Here is a 19781-nt window from a genome sequence, read left to right on the forward strand (position 1 = left end):
ATTGCCATCTTTAACAGGGCAGCCTTTCTGGGGTGACGGAGGTGTGGGGAGCAGTGTGTCTGAGTGGTGTGTGCCACCTATGCCTCTGCTCTGGAAATACCAGGCCCAGGGGAGGTATCGGCCCAGTGTCTGCCTTGCTGAGCCCTGCAGCAGAGACTTCTTCTCATGCACACACACACTGCTTCCTCCAGTCTCTGTCCTTTGGGCTGGCTGCCTGTCTGTACCCTGGCAAGGGCAAAGAGGCCCAGCCAGGGGCCCCCTGGACCCAGGCAGCTCACCCGAAACAGGCCAAGGACTCGCTGTCCTGGGAGGGGGACCAGCCCTCGGCTGCAGCTGCTCCTCCTGGGAGGGGCAGGCAGGAGCTCCCCACAGTCTCTCAGCACAGCTTGGGGTCAGTACCCAGAAGGGCATGACCTCAAAGACCTTCAGGGACCCCTCAGAGCTGCTCCTCCTGTTCCTCATTCTTCTGTAAATGAGCCAGGTCCTGGGGAAATGGGGCTCCAGCTGGAGGCCTGGTCCCCTGACCCCAATTACTTCTGGCTGGGGGTGGGGCAGTGGTTGTCCGTCCTCTTGAAGCTTCTCTCTTCCTTCCACCCCCATCCAGGGCCGCTTTTCCAGATTTTTCCCTTTCCCACACTCTTTCCCGAATGGTCCTTCACACACCCAGTTCTTCTTAAAGGGGCTCTAAGAAGAACACATTTTCTATGAACAGAACAATGCCCTATTAATCTTACAAGGGATTTGAACTTGGCAACATTTCAGCCTTTGATTTAAATATCATTTTGGTAATGGGGAAGGATAAAGAAGGCTGACTCTTGGTAAGGAGTTTCCAATACCTTCTGAGCATGAGACGATTTTGAATATAAAATTAAACCCAACTCTCTCCTCCCTTTTCTCCCTTCCTCCCTCTCTCTCTCCCTCCTGCTTTCACTCACACAAAAGCTCACTTCCCACATACTTCATGGGGATATTTCAAGTTAAAGTTTTGTTTACCTTATAGAAAAGTTAATTAGTTCCTTTTGATCTCACAGGGAAAACCACACAGGAAATTTTTCTTCAGAAAGTGTACACACGAAGGCAGGCTTTACCCTCATAACCAGAAATATTCATTAAAACAATTCGTTTCGATTTTTAATTTAAAGAAAACATTTTACATTTTCCCTATTTATTATTAAGAAAGTAGTTATCCCCAGGGCAGGGCGTTGAGGGAGTCGGAGGCAGTGTTTTCGCTGTGCTGGCAGCCAGCGTTGGGCAGTTCGTAATCCGTCCCTAGTTTGTTTTTTCTGCTTTGGATAACAAGAGACTTCTGCAGAGAGACAAACCTTCAAACATGCCAGATTTCAATCGCCAAAATATTAAAAATCCAGGGTTTTGGAGATTGAGGCTGTATGGTTTAAATAAAGATATTTAAGTTTTGAAATATAAATATTCGAGATCCTGAAAAAACATACCCATTGCATTAAAATCCGAAACAGGCAGCGGGTGAATCGCGGGGAGAAAATGTTTACTTTTTTGAGGTTTATCTAATGAAATACAATAAATAGTACATCGTGCTTTATTTTATCATTATTATTATTATTATTATTATTTTTTACCCCTAGAGATAGTTAAGTAATACCTGGATTTGTACAATAAGCGGCTTAGCAAAAGTCTGGAAAGAGAAACGCTTGGATTTCCAAAATGTGATTTTCAATCTTAAGCACATTTTCCACATCTTGTGTTGTTATGGGGTAAGGGATGCCTGGGACTGCAAATTGTGGAATTCATTTCCAGCACGGATCAACCAAAAAAGAAAGAGCATGGCTTCACTGAGGTTGAAAGAATAAATTAAACGATATTGCTGATGGCGTAGCCAAAAGCTGTGGTCCCCATTACTGCGAGAAAAAAAAAAATCATACAGATATGGTATGGACAAAAAGCCTGTGGAAAAGATGTTTTTACAAAAGAAAAGCCACAAAAACATAACAGCTCTAAAGAGTGGTGTTGACATCAGTATATAATTTTGAGGGTATTTTTGGGGTATGTATCCCTTTCCTGCCCCTGACACAAATATTTGGAGATTGGGACTGTCATTGTTGATAAAAATTAAATTGATGCCGCATACAAAAGATATATAAAAAGCATGTTAACATATGGGGTGACTTTGATGATGTTCTGTACAGCAAAAGTATAAGAATCTGATGACATTTTATTGTCACCGATTCCTGTTTTAATCTGCCCTGACCACTGCCTTTAAAAATAGAACTCTTAATATAGATTCCTTTCCTCAAAGTTTTCACCTGAAGATAAATTTTCCGGTTTAAATACACTCCATTCTCCTTTTTAATTTTTCTTTCTTTTTTATTTTTGGTAAATGGTGAAGGCATGTGACAATCCATTTGTGAAGTTGGAAACAAATACAGATATTTTGAAGAAGGGTTTTAAAATGCTGACTGGAGGAGCCGATCCCTGCAAATGAACAGCCCCAGGGAAACTGGTTATTAGTACGAGTTTCCATAGTCTTTCCGTTCAAATGCAGAGCCCCAAAAGCTTTTTAAAACTGTCCTTCTATAACACATTTATTTTCATTTCCTCCCTAAGATACCTTTGATATTTTCTTCTAAAGAAGTATTTATGCTTTTTAGAGTTGAAAATGCTGTTTTTTTCTTCTTTTTTTTCCCTTGAGGGAAACAATTTAATGTGGAGTTTAAGGGGAAGAGAAACTCATTTAACAAAATGGATAGAAAACAGAAGTTTCAAATGGATACCCAATTCCCTCTTTGGATTTGCCAAATAATTACTAAAAATCAAATACTTCCCATAAGACGATGGATGCAATTCCTCCCAGATAAATAGGCATCTATTTCCACTTTTATCCAAACAAACAATTTTGTCTGTGGCTAGAAGTTTTGCAGACTGGGGTCCCTCACATCCTAAGTGCTCGCCATGGGGAACCTTCAGATTACAATAGGTATATAATATATGTGTATAAAATTGTCCTTTCCATGAAGAGGAAAACAGGGGAATTCCCACAAACTCCGAGTTCTTTCTTTAGGAGAGCAGTGGGCTAGGAGAGACTTGGGGCTCTGGGTCAACGCTTTATTGGCCTGAAGGCAAGAGTGAAGTGGGAGAAAGGAGCTTCCAGAAAGATATAATCTGAAAGGAGAAAACGCTGGCAGAGTGATAAAAAGAACAAGACAAGTAAACATTTTTCTAGTGCGCTTCCAAGTGAAAATCCACGAAACTACTACCCAGTTAGAGAAAGATAAAACAAAATTCATCCCTACCTTAGTCAGTTGAAAAGTAATGGGGAACTTGCTTCCAAAGTGGTTGTGACCTGTACAGGCTACACAGTGCTTCTTACCTTAAATCTATACGTTTTGAACAAAAACAGCTTGGAGCAATTCTCTCCAAACAACCCCAAATGTTAACCATTCCATCTCAAGATCAGGTTTCTCCTTCAGCCTACGGTGATATCAGTTGGATTTTCTTTTCTTTTTCTGTTTTTTTTTTTTTTAATATGTATGCTTATGTTTCCAAGCCTGAAACATACTTTTCTCATCTTTGTTAATGCTCCTTCTGGCTGGTGGATGGGATAGGAGTTGTCAGGAGCCCCTCTCTTCAGGACAATTAGCCCCCTACTTGATCATTTTAAGATGGAATGATTTGTTGTGGTCACTGAGTGAGGGCTTACTGCTGCTCTCCTTTAATATTGTTGCAGATACGTAAAGTTTACTGCGTGCTGTAAATATGTCAGCTTTTGCCAGGGAGTTTGCTAATAAAGAACTTTGAGGTATTATTGATGGAAAAGATAATGTTTTCAATAAGACTTGCAGGGGCTGAGGTTCGAGACATTCCACACCCAGCAAAGTGCAGGCGTTTAAAACAGACGCCGACCCTCTGGCTGTGGTGCTGCCAGCGCTGGGTCTGACAGCCACAGGCCAGGCAGCTGCCCGTCGCTCCGTGGTCACCGTGCCTCCATTTCCAGCACTATTTGAATTGCCCAACTGGTTTTAAGAACTCTGTCCTTTTTCAAATGGTTTTCCTGACCATCAGTAACAGCTGAGCTTATCAGAGAGCCACAAGAGACCGTTTTCCCAGTATGATGGCTTTGGATTTACAAGTTGAGCCGTGGATAGGAGAGAAAAAGAAATCGATCATTTACAGTGGAATCTCATATTTCTGTTTTGAAAGGCAAAATTGGATTCATTTTTTCCACCTTTATCTTCATTTGTGGATTATTCTTCTGCCTTCCTCCCTTACAAGGAAAAAAAAAAGAAATTACAGAAAAGTTGGTTTTCATCTGCCATGTGGCCAGGGTTCCACAAATACAGTCACTTGCTCTTGGTTTTTTTGTCACATCACCCCACATGACAGTTTCATCTGGTGCTAATGTGGCTGTCACATGTGTTGGCTCTAAGAATTCCATGCTCACTCACCATTAATCAAATGCATCATTATGAATTGTGTATGCATTTTAGAGTAGACCTGAGCCCCGGCTCGAGAGAAAAGTACTTTTTTGCGTTCATGTTCAGCAACAAAATTCACGTCTGCTGTGAAGATGAATGGCAAGGCCAAAGTGGCATTCTCTGTGTTTGCCTAGCCCAGAAATCAACAACTCTAAATGACAGGTTGGTAAGCAATGCTCAGGTAGCATTCGTTTTTCTGGATAATTATTGTGAGCACTTATGTGCCAACAAAAGCACCCCCAGCTAACTGAAGCTGGTGTGAGAGAGGCCAAACAAAGCTAGTGGAGAGCTCAGCCCCGGCTTCCCAGAGGCCGGGGGTGGGGGGTGGGTGCCTTCTTTAGACTGGGGGGATTTTAGTCTTAAGTTGCATTTTGGGTGAAATAGGGACTGGCCTTCTAATTTGGAAGAATGTGAAGTATTTGCAGGCTGAGCTCGGATGGGAGGGGGTGGGGGCCATGACGGTGTTACTGCACTACGCTTTGCTTTGGAACTGTGAGCTCATTTGCCAATTGGTGCTCTGTGGGAGCATCTGAGTTCCGGAACCTTCCTTGGAGGGCCTGTCTCCGTCAGCTGATGGGGACATGAAGTCTCCTGGGTGTATAAAGAGGGTTTTCATTGGGCGTTGCCAGTGATCAAAGTCTTTCCTGAGGACGGGACCGTGTTTCAGGTAAAAACCCTTTGCTGAACTATCACAACAGTTCCAGGAGACGGGGCCTGGTGCCTGAGACAGGAGGGCCCTGGGCCTGACTCCTCTCTCACAGTTAGGCTGGAGAGACAGATCTGGCCTGGGGTCAGCTCACATTTTGATGTCTAATTGTCAGCAATGCCAGAAGAGGTTGGTCCGGAAGAGTGAGGAGAGGCTATGGTGCTGGTTTATTTCGTGGCACTGTTTTGTTCCCTGCAAGCAGATAGCTGGGCCTGGATTATGATATGGCTGAAGCCTGCTAAAAATAAACACCTTTTTAGAAGATGCTGCTCACAGCCCGCCTTAGCCTGTGGTTTGGGAGGCTCCAGGAGAGATTGAGAGTCCTGGGCTGCTCTGTGAGCTTGGTGCTGGGGTGCTGGGGTTCTGGGGTCACCTGTGTGCGCTCCTGGGCACATTTTGGGAACTCTTCTCCCTTGGAGCCTCTGTTCCTTCTTGGAAGGTCTGGGCTGCTTTCCCTTGGAGGGGTTCAGGGGCACAAGAGCACAGATTTTCAGCCCCCATCCCCCTTTTTTTTGAGACAGGGTCTCGTTCTGTTGCCCAGGCTGGAGTGCAGTGGCACAATCAACAGCTCACTGCAGACTTGACCTCCCGGGCTCAAGTGATCCTCCCATCTCAGCCTCCTGAGTAGCTGCTATCACAGGCACACATCACCATGCCCGGCTAGTTTTTGTATTTTTTTTTTGTAGAGACGAGGTTTTGCCATGTTGCCCAGGCTGGTCTCAGACTCCTGAGCTCAAGTAATTCTTCTGCCTTGGCCTCTCAAAGTGCTGGGATTACAGGCATGAGCCACCGCACCCGGCCTCAGACCCTCTTCCTGACCTTCTTCTCCTGGTTGGAGAAGAGTGATGGTGCCACCATTGGCTCAGAAGCAGCTATCTGCAGGTGGCCAAAGCGCTGAGCCTGGAGGCAGCAGCCAGCAGTTAAATTCAGTGGCAAGATGTGGCCCTCTGCACATGGATGGGGGAGTGTGTGGGTGTGTGATGGGAGTGGGGGGCTGTTGTCAATACCCTCTAGGCCAAGGCTCAGGCTCTGTTTTTGTTCCCTTGGGTCCTCTTTCCCAGTGGGGCAGTGACCCTGGTACTGCTGCCAGCTAGGCTGAGCCTGGAATCTGGAATGGGCATCTTGAGGCAGGTATGGCCTCAGAGGGGTGAGCAGCTGGGGCATCGCTGCTGTCCCCGCCCCCCCGACCACCCCCATGACCTTTAGGGCCCGGAACAAGGCAGTAACATCCAGGCTCTGAGCCCAGGCTTCTCAATGGCTTGGAAGAGGCCTGGGAGACAAGGCTTTGGGAATGCTCTTGTCTGAGGCCTTCAGCTACTTTAGAGGGTCTGTGGCTTACCCTCCGAACCACCTGGGACTTCACCAAAGCACTGGAGTCCACTCTGCGGCCACAGCTTTCTGAACCTGCTTCTTAGGGCTGTTTAATCCCACAGCAGCCCTGGGAAGTGGGACTCTGGGACTCAGAGCAGTTTATACTCTGTTCAAGGTCACTAAGAACCCAAGCTTTTTGGATTCTGAACCTTGAACCTCACCTCCGTGAATGATGCCCCAGAAAGCCCTTGCGCTGAATAAAATGCAGGGCCTCGAGATACTGGAATAGGTCGTCTCAGACAAAAATTTGAGGGGTGGTCTAATTGAACTGCTTACAAAAATACAGAGGACCAGTCCTGCTTTGAGCAGCTCACTAGGGGTTTTAGGGAAATAGCTCTGGTTCCACTGACATTTTTGGTTTTTTGAAATTAGGATTTGGGTCATTTTGGTATGAGGTTTAACAAGTTGATGTGGCTTGTCTGGCGTTTTGTCTGTGACCTGGTTTGGTTCAAGGACAGAGAAGAGTTTCCACCTATAAAACAGGCACAGACATGGCTGCCATGTGGAGGTGTCATCTCTCTCTGCTTCTGCCCCTTTTCAAGGGAGCGGAGGAGTCTGCCCTTATACACCCTGGACCGGTCCTTTAAATAGGCCTAGACCAGGATGCTGAGCAATGGAAAACTCCAGGCAGCTAGTAAAAGCGACATGTAAGTGGACATTATTTGACATGGAGAGACTTTCCCTCCATGTGTTAATTAATTAATTAATTAATTAATTTATTTATTTGAGATGGAGTCTTGCTCTGTCACCCAGGCTGGAGTGCAGTGATGCAATCTCGGCTCACTGCAACCTCCACCTCCCGGGTTCAAGCAATTCTCCTGCCTTAGCCTCCGGAGTAGCTGAGATTACAGACATGTGCCACCACGTTTGGCTAATTTTTGTGTTTTTAGTAGAGAAGGGGTTTCGCCATGTTGGCCAGGCTGGTCTTGAGCTCCTGACCTTAACTGATCCGTCCTCCTCAGCCTCCCAAAGTGCTGGGATTACAGGCATAAGCCACCGCGCCTGGCTCCTCCATGTGTGAATTTAAACTCATTTTAAATTATAAAAGCAACACATACACCTGGTAAGAAAGTAAAACTCTACAGAAGTACTTTTAAAGTAAATGAAATGAGTTAACATTTGTACAATGCTTAGAAGAATAGGGCCTGGCTCTCTAGAAGTGTTTTTTAAATAAAAATATATGAAATTAGAAGTACGATTTTCTCCCACGTTAGACCTGCAGTCTTCCTTTCAAGAGCAACCACATCAATAATTTCTTGCATATTCTTCCAGCAATTTTGTGAGCTTACATAAGTGTGTGTGGGCACACAATAATTTCACATTGTAAAGTGAAAAGAGTAGGTTACAAAACAGTTTCAAAGAGTAAGATCCCATTTGTGTTTGTTTGCTTATTTATTTATTTATTTAGAGTCTGCATCTTGCCCTGTTGCCCAGGCTGGAGTGTACTGGCGTGATCATGGCTCACTGCAGCTTTGACCTCCTGGGCTCAAGTGATCCTCCCACCTCAGCCTCCCAAGTAGCTGGGGCCAAAGGCTGGCTAACTCTGTTAATTTTTTCAGAGATGGGGTCTCATGTTGCCCATGCTGGTCTCGAACTCCTGGGCTCAAGTGATCCGCCTGCCTTGGCCTCCCAAAGTGCTGGGATTATAGGCATGAGCCGTCATGCCTGGTCTTGATTCTGCTTTTAAAACAAACAAAAAATACTCATAGAAGATAATCCAGAATCATGTGTATCTAAGTAGTAACAGGGATTATCTCTAAAAAGTGGGATCTGGGGTGGATTTTTTTTTACTTCTTGTCTCCTTTTGCTCATTCTTTTTGTAATTCTAAAACTAACGAAGGAGAAGTGAGTATAGATAAATGAATGAGTGGGGGAATACATGGACCTGGGTCTTCTCAGATGAACATGTTCTAAGAGGGCTAACATCCCAGCTGGAAGCCCAAGGCCCCCCTTGTGGCATGTGCGCCTGGACCACTTCCTGTGGGCTCCCTGGGACCTGCCACTCTGCTGTGGCACAAATGCTGGTCTGAATCTGACTTTCCCCAGTGGCTCCAGGACTCCCCTTGGGCCCAAGGACTGATGACCAACACTAGGATACATTCCCCAGGACTGTCTTACACACTTTGCTCAGGACGCGACTTTTTTTTAAGCTTTTTTTTTTTGGTGTGTGTGTGTGTGTGTGTGTGTGTGATAGAGTCTCACTCTGTCACCCAGGCTGGAGTGCAGTGGCGCGATCTCAGCTCACTGCAACCTCTGCCTCCCAGGTTCAAGCAATTCTTGTGCCTCAGCCTCCTGAGTAGCTGGGACTACAGGTGTGTGCCATCACGCCAGGCTAATTTTTGTATTTTTAGTAGAGACGGTGTTTCACCCTGCTGGCCAGGCTGGTTTTGAACTCCTGACCTCACGTGATCTGCCTGCCTCAGCCTCCCAAAGTGCTGGGGTTACACGCATGAGCCACTACATCCAGCCAGGACATGAGTTTTGCTGTTGTTTATTGAGGCTGTAGTGGGAAAGAGACCCCCACTTCCTCTACCTGCCCAGACCTGGAGGGCCTGCCTGGCTGGGCCTGATCTCCCCATCAGGGGATAAGAGTGAGACCTGTTTGAAGCAAATCCACTTATGTGTCCTTCCTGAGACCCCCATGTTCCATGGCCTGGGTCCTTTGGAGCTATCAGATGGTCATCTCTGGGTGTGCTTAGAGATGAGAGGTGGCAGGCCAGCCCTGGCTCTCCAGCTTCCTGGCCTGCTTTTCTTGAAGCTCAGTCTGATTCCTGCAGCAGCCAGGGCAGCAGGGGTCCTGGGTGAGGGTCCCCAGTGGGCACAGCTGACTGCTTCTGATTCCTGATGATGATCTGAAGTCAAATAGACCTGGGCTATGAAGCAGGTTCTACTATGGGACTGGGGCAGGCCAATTCATCTTTCTAAGCTTCAATTTCTTCATTTCTAAAATGGGGCAACCAGGGGGTGCTAATGTTATCTTCATTCTCATCTCATTCCTTCAGTACGGATTTATCTGGGCACCTCCTGTGTGCGAAGCTCTTTACTGGACCTCCTGACATATAAACCTCTTGTAGGACACCAGGTAGAGAAAAGGAAGTGTTCTCCAGTGGTGAAAACACATGGAAAGCAGGGAAGGCTTCTCAGAGGAGGTGGCATTATAGTTGCACCTTGAAGGACTGATAGGAGCTCTGATACCTTGGGGCTTGCAATTGGGAAGGAGCTTAGGAGTTTTCACAGCCCTTCCACATATATAACTTCACATGTTTCTCACAATAGTCGTATAATTTGATTTTTGCTGAGGGGAGGTTAGGTTGAGTTTGTTTTTTAGCCAGACTGGGTTGGATTGTAAGTAGAGGGGAATACACCAGGCAGTACTAGACGATACTCAGAGTCCAGTCTGTCCTGCTCCTTCTGCTCTCATCTAGGGATAACTAGCTGCCCCTTCAGCTTTGAGTAGGTAGGTCTTGAAGGTCAACTCAAGGAAAGTTTCCCTAGAGATACCTCCCTTTCCACTTTTCTACTGCTGGGGTGCCCAGGGCTGGAAAGGACAAGATCTCTGGGCGAACCAGCCTCCAACTTGGACTCTGCCACACGCATGCTGGTGATCTTGGGCAAGCCTCATTTTCCTCATCAGGAAAATGGGTATTGTGGCAAAAACCCACCTTGCCAAGCTGCTGTGAGGATTGCAGATGGTGCAAAGCACCCACTTAATGCCTAGCATATGCCAGGATGTCTGAGGCAGAGCTGGGTCCTCTGCCAGCGGGGCCCAGTGTCTGGACTCAAGACATCGTACTCCTTATTATAAGCCGCACAGCCAGGTCCTAGCCCATCTGGGTCCCACGTGAACCCTGGGGCTGCAGACGAATTTCATCCCTTTACTTGGCTTTCGTCTTCCCAACCCTGGCTGAATGCCTACCTCCCCACCTGCTGCCCCTGCAGACCCCCATCAGGCAGATAAATTGGTAACCTGCAAGAGCTAAGGAGAAGGAGGCTGTGAGGTGAAGGGAGGAGAAGAGCTGTGTTTGCAGAGGAGGGTTGTAGGAGAGATGGGGACCCCAGATGCTATTTCTGGGTGATGGGGCCTCCTGGGTAACAAGGCCAGCCACAAAACCTGCTCTGGTGCTATTCTTCACCCTCAACTTCCCAAATCAAGAAGGCAAAGAAGAGTTTGGCATTTTTTTCCCTCTCCCTCCTCTCATCTGTAAAATTGAGACATTACAGTTCCAAAATGGGCTTTGAGCCTGTAGAAATTAACCCAGTCTGGCAGGAGGTCTGAAAATAAACATATTGTTTCGATTGGTGTTGACATTTGGATTGCGAGAAGGTTTGAAAATGTAACTGTAGTTGGGATTTTCCAGCCCATCCAAGTTTTTCCATGGAGGAGCTCAGCAGACTTAAGCCGGTGACTGGGTGAATGTCCTCTTACTGCCAACGTGGGCACTGGAAAAGGCTGAGGGCTTCACGGCTTGGAGACTGCACCAGCGGAGGCCGACTGTGCTCTTTGGTGGTGTGGGGAGGGGTTGAGCATTTCAGGATGCCGAGCCCCTCTGGGCAATGTGGGGGCAACCAAGTGTCCAGCATGACCTGAACTACTTAGAACGCCTACTACATGCCTGGCACCTTATCCGCACTATCTCACATAGTCCTTGCACCAGGGCTAGAGAGTATCGTGTGACTATTCCCACTTCACAGATTGGGACACTGAGGAACTGAGGGTTTCAATGACATGCCAAAGCCACCCAGGAGAAAAGCAAGGACTTAAACTTAGCCCTCTCTGGAGCTCCATGGCTTGCCGTACACCACCTACTTCATGTCAGGAACTTTCTGGAAGGTTTTCTCAGCAAGAGAATGGCTCATTGTTCCAGAGAGAGGGCTGATCCTGGACTGAAGTAACTGTTGTTGGCATAGTACTCGGTTGTAGAGACTGCCAGCTCCATCCATTTCTGGAAACCTGTGGATTTAATCACCTCTCCACCTCCCACACTTTACCCTCTTGCCACCATGGGAGCCTGTAAAGTGGGTTTTGCCCCCTACTCCCACTCCATGGCCCAATGAGCCTCAGTGCCTATTCCTCTCACCCAGCTCCAGCCTCCCACCATGTCCTAGCAGGGAAGCTGCCTGGTCCCCTGTAGGAGAGGCCAGCCCTGGGAAGGCACCCTGCCCGGGGCGGAGGTGCACACAGCTTTTAGCTACGAACCCAGAGTGCTGGCTGAATCAGGCAGGCACCTCATTTTTGGGAAAGGCTTGGTGTCTAATGCACCTGGCAACTTCTGTGTGCCCCAGGCCTCATCTCCCCACCTCCTGGCCTTTGAGATGCAAGGGCCAATCTCTACTTGACTTCAATTGCTGGTCTCCCTGCTCCAGTCTCTTGTCCACTCTCTGCACCTGCCTCTGCATGGCTGAACATGGCTGGAAAACACACACCACACCAAGCTGAGTGGTCTTGCTTTAAATTTACCATCACAAGACGGCGGGGGCGCTGGTAGTACTAACTGGCCATCCTCCCCATTTCCTGAGTCCATAATTTCTTCTGGTTCTCAGATGTCTATTTCACCTCTTGTCAAAGTTAGACCAAACGTGTCAGGAGTCCTTGAGGCAGGGGCCTCCATGCTACCTGGGATCAAGCTCCCAGCCCCTGCAACTCTACCTCCACTCCCAGGGGAGAGCACTTTGCTGTCTGGGAGGACATGGAACAGGGGTTGTAAGATGGTGGCCAGACCCCATCCTGTGCTGTCCCACCCTACCCTGCACACTGAGCTTCTGGGGAAGGTGACTCCATGCCTGGCCAGGAAGATCCTCAGTCACAGCCCCCTCCTCTGCTGTGACTCCATGCCTGGCCAGGAAGATCCTCAGTCACAGCCCCCTCCTCTGCTGTCTCTCTCCCCTCTCAGGGGCTACAGTGGTAACTGGCAGCCTCCTTGGGGGAGGAACAAACGTTATCTGTTTCCACCTGGGGGATTTCTGTCACAGGATTCCTGGAGCTGTCCTCATAGCTGCAAGTACCTGGCACCTTTACACATCAGTGCCTCCCTCCCTCTGCCCTCATGCCCTGTCCCCATTCGGTCAGGCTCCTCAGGGCTTGCTCTCCTTTTCATATTCAAAGGCTCGAAACCATGACCAGAAGTTTGGGGGCGTTGGGTTTGGCCTGACACTGTTTTGGGAGCAAATGCTTGGATCCATCTGGATGTTTTTGTTTGTTGGCTGGCTTTGCCTTCGGGAGGTGTGAGCCTCTGACTGGGTTTGAGGTTCTGTAAATCGGGAAGGTTTGTGTTCATTTCAAGGTTCAGAAAATCATTGTGGTTTGGGGTCATGGTTGGGTTTGATTTGCGTGCTTGATGGCAGTGGCGGCTGGGTGGCTCTGAGCTAGGCCTCTGCTCAGCCCTGGGGGTTCTGAGTGAGAGGTACCGGGGTGTGCACCTCTGGGTGGGGCTGGTCCTGGGCCAAGCCCTTGGGCAAGCATCCAAGGCAGGGGCACGAAGCTGGTTTGGGGACATAGAGATGGGGAATTTGCTCTGCTCTCAAACTGCTTATCACAGAGCATGCCTGGATGTAATTTTCATGGACAGCCAGAGAGGTGATTTTCGGGGAGAGCAGGGTGAGAGAGTCAGGGCTGAAAGAAGGATGGCTCCAGACACTGGGGTGGAGTGAGCAGCCAGGTATCTGCTTGGGGACCTGCACCCACCTCGCACCTGCTGGGTGATTTGAGCAGCCCCTTAACTTCTCTGAGCTCCGGCTTCCTCTTGCCTCTTCCTAAGGCAGTTCTGAGGATTAGAGGGGAGAGCATTTGTGGAAACTCACAGAGGAAGTCAGAATATATTAGTTTTCCTGAGCTCTACAAAGACAGGTCTATGCCTCATTAATCCTATTCTTCCCAAGTTCGCACGCTTGGCCCCAGTTCCCATTCAAGGAAATCTTCTTGAATGCCACATGGGACTGGCCCCCTGGTTATTCGTGTCAGTTTTAGTGTCCAGCCTCTTTTGCCCCATTGGAGGTCTAAGTTGCAGTCCTGAACTGCCGTACCTTGCTCTGGAAGAAGCTTTTCTCTCTGGACACAGCAGTTTTCCTGCAATGATCACCAACCTTTGGTCACCTCCCAGGGTTGTTCCCGGGCCTGCCAAGGCTGGTCGCCTTCTGCCTCTGAACTGACTGGATTCATTTCCGTCTTCCCAGGGCTGGAGGAGCCTGACTTCTCCAGCCACAGAGAATTCCCACAGTCTTTGGGTTTTCAATTTTTGGATCAGTGTGTTGGAGCCCGAGGCCCTTTGGACTGCCCATATGTCTCAGATTTCCAGCTATAGTTTCAAACCCTCAGTGCCATTGTCCCTGTTGAGTGTCAGCCTAGGATCCTTGAATTTTAGTCTGCAAATAATACTGTTATTTTATTTGACCATAAACTGAGCACTTGTCTTTTCTAGGCACTTACTTAATCCTCACAGCTGCCCTGGGAGGTGGCAGTATTAGTACAATGCCCACTTTACAGATGAGGAAGCTGAGGCTCAGAAGGTTACGTAACATGCCCATGTTCACAGAGCATGGAGTGGCAGAGTTGGAACACAAAGCCATTTGTGTTCCAACACAAAGCCAGAACACCATTTGTTCTGCTTCCAAATATGGTGCACTGATTAAAAAGAAGGGCAACTGGCGTCCCCAAGACCCCTCAGCCTCTAACTTGCTCAGTGACACTGAATCTCTTGGGAGGTGTTCCCCATCTGGAACGGGGAGGGTGAAGAACTTCCCAGCCAGAAACCCGTCCCAGCCTTGGAAGACACCAATGGCTGGCTGCTGCACCAGGCTGGCTGTCACAAACTGTTCAGAAGGTGCAACTGGCCATGAAAGGTGAACTGTTGGGAGCAGAACTGCCTGGGGCTGTGTCAGAGGCGCCTGCCTGAAACTCTGCTGCTTCACTTGCCATGGCCCCGCTCAATCCCTAGGTCTGTTCTGCCACCCAAACCACGAGCCTCGGGATGACAGCCACAGGCCCCCTCCCATCCACCCCTCGCTTTCCTCCTTCCCTGGCAAGGGAGAAATCCAGGCCCCGAGTCGGTCAATGCCCCAGTGTTCCTGGCATCACCAGCCTCGGGGTTACTTTGCTGTCTTCAAAAAGGATCTGCCTTCCTTCCCCTCTGCCATCCCCATGGAGGCTTCACAGGCCTGCGGGTTCACCGGGCTGGGAGCACACATGGCCTCTTTGTGGCTATTCCCCCAAGGCCCTGCCATCTTTGAGGATGACAAACAGCCTTTGAGGAGAGAGTCACGTTTGCACACAGAAGACCACCACTTAACTTGTCCAAAAGCATTTTTATTTCCTTTGGCAATTTGTTTTCCTTTGGGTGAGAATAAAATGATGCAGGAGATTTGCATGCTCTGATATTTTTTCTCCCATTTCCCTCTTTCCTGTTTTCTGCCAGCCACTCCTTAGCTGTGCTGAGAAGTTGCCCTGAATGCACCCTCTAGTAGCTCTGGAAAGCTGCCTTATCTCTGTTTCTGTGGCCTGTGCAGGGTTTCAGGCTCAGCATCCCTCCCTGGAATGAGCCTGGCTGGTACCTGGTCTCTGGGCTTCCACTTCTGCTGCCTGGGATCCTTATGGTGGTCAGGATGACCTTGCAAGCAAGAATGCTAGTCTGATCCCACTGGCCCAGGCCACGTCTTGGACTGTCTCCTCCCCTCTCTTCCTCACCATTCTGGCCTCCTCCAGGCAGGCTTCCAGCTCAACACCTCTGCCTGGAATGCTTTTCTCCCAAATATCCATGTGGCTCCCTCACCTCCTCTAGGTTTCCCCGAGGTCACCTTCTCAATGAAGAAGCCTTGTCTGTCTACCCCATTTCAAGTGCTGCCCCTCCCCCAATTCTCCCAAGGCCGGCTGCCCCCAGTGCTTGATTTTTCTTCATCTCATTGATCACCTTCTGACCAGAGGTGGAGTCTCCAGCAAGCTGATGATTCCTAAGTTTCAGGACCCCTCACTGGTAGCTTCCAAGGCTTTGCACCTCAACTGATATTTACAATTTTTTATTCTTTTTTAATCTTAAAGAGTTCCTTACCCTGACATTATATGAGATCACTTCAGGCTCTGTGAAAGCCTGGATTTGCCTGCCTCTGCCTCTGACAACTCATCTGTTTTTATTTTGTTTATTGTGTCTTTCCCTCTACCATTAAAATGTAAACTCCACGAGGGCAGAAGTTTTTGTCTTTTTTTTTTTTGAGATGGAGTCTCGCTCTGTCGCCCAGGCTGGAGTGCAGTGGCATGATCTTGGCTCACTGCAGCCTCTACCTCCCGAGTTCAAGATCCTCCTGCCTCAGCCTCCCAAGTAGCTGGAACTACAGAAGCATGCCACCACACCTGGCTAATTTTTGTATTTTTAGTAGAGACGGGGTTTCACCATGTTGGCCAGGCTGGTCTCGAACTCCTGACCTCAGGTGATGCATCCACCTCGGCCTCCCAAAGCGCTGGGATTATAGGTATGAGCCACTATACCCAGCCTTTTTTTTAACTGTTTTATCCCCAGGGTCCAGAACAGTGACTGTACACAGTAGGAGCTCAATAAATCTGCTGAATGTATGTCATTCCCAGGCTCACATTTCTTTCAAGGGTTTCCCTTTCAGACTCCTTAACACCCCCATCCTTCAGCTTCCCTATTGTCTCGTACACTGGGATCCAGCCATCTTGCCCTCTTTCTGCTCCCAGATGTGCTAAGCTGCGGACTCAGGCCCTTGGAACACGCTGTTTCTTTTCTCTGGATGTTCTTCCTTTCCCCTTCCCCTCCTTATTCCTTAGATCTCTACTGGAATGTCACCTGCTTGCCTGGGCTCAGCCCAGCCCTGGGGTTATGTGCTCTCCAGGACCTCGGAGTCTGTCTTTACAGTGCTTGCTCTCACTGTCATGCACAGTCTCTGCCATTGGTGGTTTGGTAATTCATTTCCTCCTAAGGACTGTAAAAGCTCCATGAGGGTAGGCCGTGCTCAGCTGGGGTGCTGCGGTAACCCCAGCATAATCCCCGGCACTTAGGCCTTTTCATTGACCAGTAAATATCCGCTGAGGAAATGAGTGAATTAAAACACACTCGAGGCAAGACAGGAATCAGGCACAAATATTATCCAAATAAACAAAATCAGAATCCATGGCATGTCAGAGATGGGAGAAGGTTTAGAGATGGTCTAGTCTGCAAGTTGCAGAATGCGCTCTGCTCCCTCGTGCCTCTGTAGAGGTGTCCCCAAATCTGCTGCTGCATGTGTGCACATGTGTATGTGCATGTGCGCGTGTGTATGTATACATGTGTGCACACACATACAAGTGTTGCAGGGGGTGGGGCCGTCAGGCAGGCAAAAGAGGTGGCAAATGAAAACATCTCAGTTCCCCATTTCCACTTCAAACACAAAGAAGTTCTGCTTTATCTGTTTCTATATTGAACGTCTGCTTCCGATTTTGTTTGAAGAGAAATAGGACTTCCAGCCGAAATGAAATTTGGAAACTGACCAAATCCCTCCTCCCTATTTTATGGATGGGGAAACTGAGGCCCAGAGAGCAGAGGTACCTGCCTAAGATCACAGAGGGAGTGAGCCACAGGGCTGGGACATGCACACTGGGACACAGGGGACATCCAGCCCCCTCTGCCTGACTTTGGCAGAGCACCATTATTCTCAGCTGTGACCAGGTGGCTGAGCACCTGGATGTCCTGGAGCTCACAGAGAAGCTCCAGGGATCACTGGCACTTTAATCCCATCATGTGAATCAGGAATCATTTTCCTAGCAGAAGACATGACTTCCTGGATGCATACAGTAAAAATCACAACGTTGAGTATTACACTGAAGGGGGGAAATCCCAATATGGAAGACTAACTCTCTTCTGAGTCTTTCTGTTCATATTCTTTGGCTGCTTGTTCATTTATACAATTGTCTGGAGGTGCTCCTTAGAGGAGACACAGTAAAAAGCACCAAAGGTTTCAGGAAAATCTGTGGGAGCAAAACTTAAATGAGGCCATTTCTCATATATTTTGATGGTGGAACAAATACCTCTGGCCAAAGGGATCTCCATGGGGGAAGAAAAAAACATTATTTTTCATTGTTTTAAAAATAAATCTTTGTTTTCTGATTACAAAAGAAACAAGTACTTCTGAAAAAAGTAGAACATTACAGAAATATACATGACTTAGAAAGTAAAAGTGTTTCCATATTGTATCCCCCCCACCCCACAACCACGGTTAATAGTACTTTTTTTCAAACCTACCGAATGAGTGCCAGGTTCTGTCCTAGACACTCGGGGGCAATAGTGAGCAAACACAGATGTTGTGTGTGCCTTCACGGAGCGCATAGTTGAAAAGGGAAGAAATATAAAATCACTAAAAAGGAGAGATATAAAGACATAAAACTAGAGAAAAAGGCCTTGACAGGGAGGTCTGGGAGAGCTTTGTGGAGGGAGTGAAGCTGGAGTTGGGATCTGTTAAGTATGTGAAAATGGAGGGAAGAGTGTTCAGGAAAGAAGAGACAGCATATGTAATGGCCCTGTGGCAGAAGGGAGCAGACGGGTGTAGCAGGAGGAGCTGGTTCACAGTGAGGCAGCAGGAGGCAGCTGGGGTAGGGCTGCGAAGAACATGGCAAGATTGATGTTAAAAGCAAAGGAAACCATAAGTTGTTGTAAATAAGGGGGTGGATTATGATTAAATGTTTATTTGATACCTATTCTTTCAGTTTTTTTTTTTGGTGCATCTATCTATCTATCTATCTATCTATCTATCTATCTATCTATCTATGGCAAAACCCCATCTCCACATAAATACAAAAATTTATATATATAATATATATAAATTCATTCTTTAGCAGAACAGCCTAAGCAAAACAGATTTTTATTGGCTCATGTGACTGCAGCTTGATCGAAGGGCTCCAACATTATCCCCAGGACTTGGTTTCTCTCTATCTCTCAGCCTTGGCATCGGGTCTTCTGACTCTATTTCCTGGCTCCACATGGGGCCTCCCACAGCTCCAGGGGTAAAGACACCATCTCATCTTTCTACCCTCATCGCAGTGGAGAAGAGTGCCTGTCACTGCCAGCAGGCCAGTTTCAGCCCAATTCAGCCACATGTCACCCCTTGAACCCGGCACTGAGGTTAGGGGGATGTGGTGCTCTGATCGGCCAGGAGCAAGTCACATGCTCGGGAATGAGGCATGAAATCAACTCCAGTGGACCGGAAGCACATGGCCTGATAAAAAGTAAATCTAAGTGGTAAAAGTCAGAATAGTGGTCAACTCTGTTATGGGAGTGGGGGCAGAATTAACTAGGAGGGAACCTGGGGGTTTGGGAGGATTGGAAACGTTTCATATTGTGATCTGGGGCTGGCTATGCAGGCAGATGTGTATGTAAAAATGTACCAACTTTGCTGTGTGCAATAGAAACCAAGATTTAGTCCAGGAGCCATGACTAACACCTGTAATCCCAACACTTTGGAAGGTGAGGCGGGAGGATCACCTGAGGTCAGGAGTTCGAGACCAGCCTGGCCAACATGGCAAAACCGCATCTCCACATAAATACAAAAATTAGCCGAGTGTGGTGGCGGGTGTCTGTAGTCCCAGCTACTTGGGAGGCTGAGGCAGGAGAATCACTTGAACCTGGGAGGTGGAGGTTGCAGTGAGCCAAGATCACGCCACTGCACTCCAGCCTGGGTGACAGAGTGAGACTCCGTCTCAAAACAAACAAACAAAGAAACCAAGTGCGGTGGCTCACACCTGTAATCCCAGCACTTTGGGAGGCTGAGGCAGGAGGATTTCTTGAGCCCAGAACTTGGAGACCAACCTGGGCAACATAGTGAGACCCTGTCCCTACAAAAAAACAAAATAGAAAAACTTAGCTGGGTATGGCAGCCTGTTCCTGTAGTCCCAGCTACTTGGGAGGCTAAGGTGGGAGGATTGCTTGAGCCCAGGAGTTCAAGGCTGCTGTGAGCAATGATCCCACCACTGCCCTCCAGCCTAGGCCATAGAGTAAGATTCTGACTCAAAACAATAGTAATAATAAATAATAAAAAGCACCCGGCCCAAGAGTGGGGAAGAAGTATTTCCAGAGAAAAATTAAGATACTGTGACTAAGACAAGGGTGAATGAATGTTCATTATAGTACAGTCATATATGCATACATGTATCATACAGATACAGTTTTAACATGTGGTGGGCATTACAATGCACCCTCTTATGTAATACTTTTTTGCTTCATAACTCCTGGGCATTTGTTCATGAAATCCATGGCTTTATGGCATAGATTAATTTTGGAAGC

At 47.9% G+C, this 19781-nt stretch overlaps 1 annotated feature.

Annotated features, from left to right (window-relative positions):
• Positions 257-825: an enhancer, noted in NCBI's record as "H3K4me1 hESC enhancer chr11:44356123-44356691 (GRCh37/hg19 assembly coordinates)". NCBI's record gives its function as "activates a minimal SCP1, AML or CMV promoter by ChIP-STARR-seq in primed H9 embryonic stem cells {active_cell/tissue: H9 hESC(primed)}" and the evidence as "EXISTENCE:reporter gene assay evidence [ECO:0000049][PMID:30033119]".

Source organism: Homo sapiens, chromosome 11 (assembly GCF_000001405.40).
Source record: "Homo sapiens chromosome 11, GRCh38.p14 Primary Assembly".
Lineage (NCBI taxonomy): Eukaryota > Metazoa > Chordata > Mammalia > Primates > Hominidae > Homo > Homo sapiens.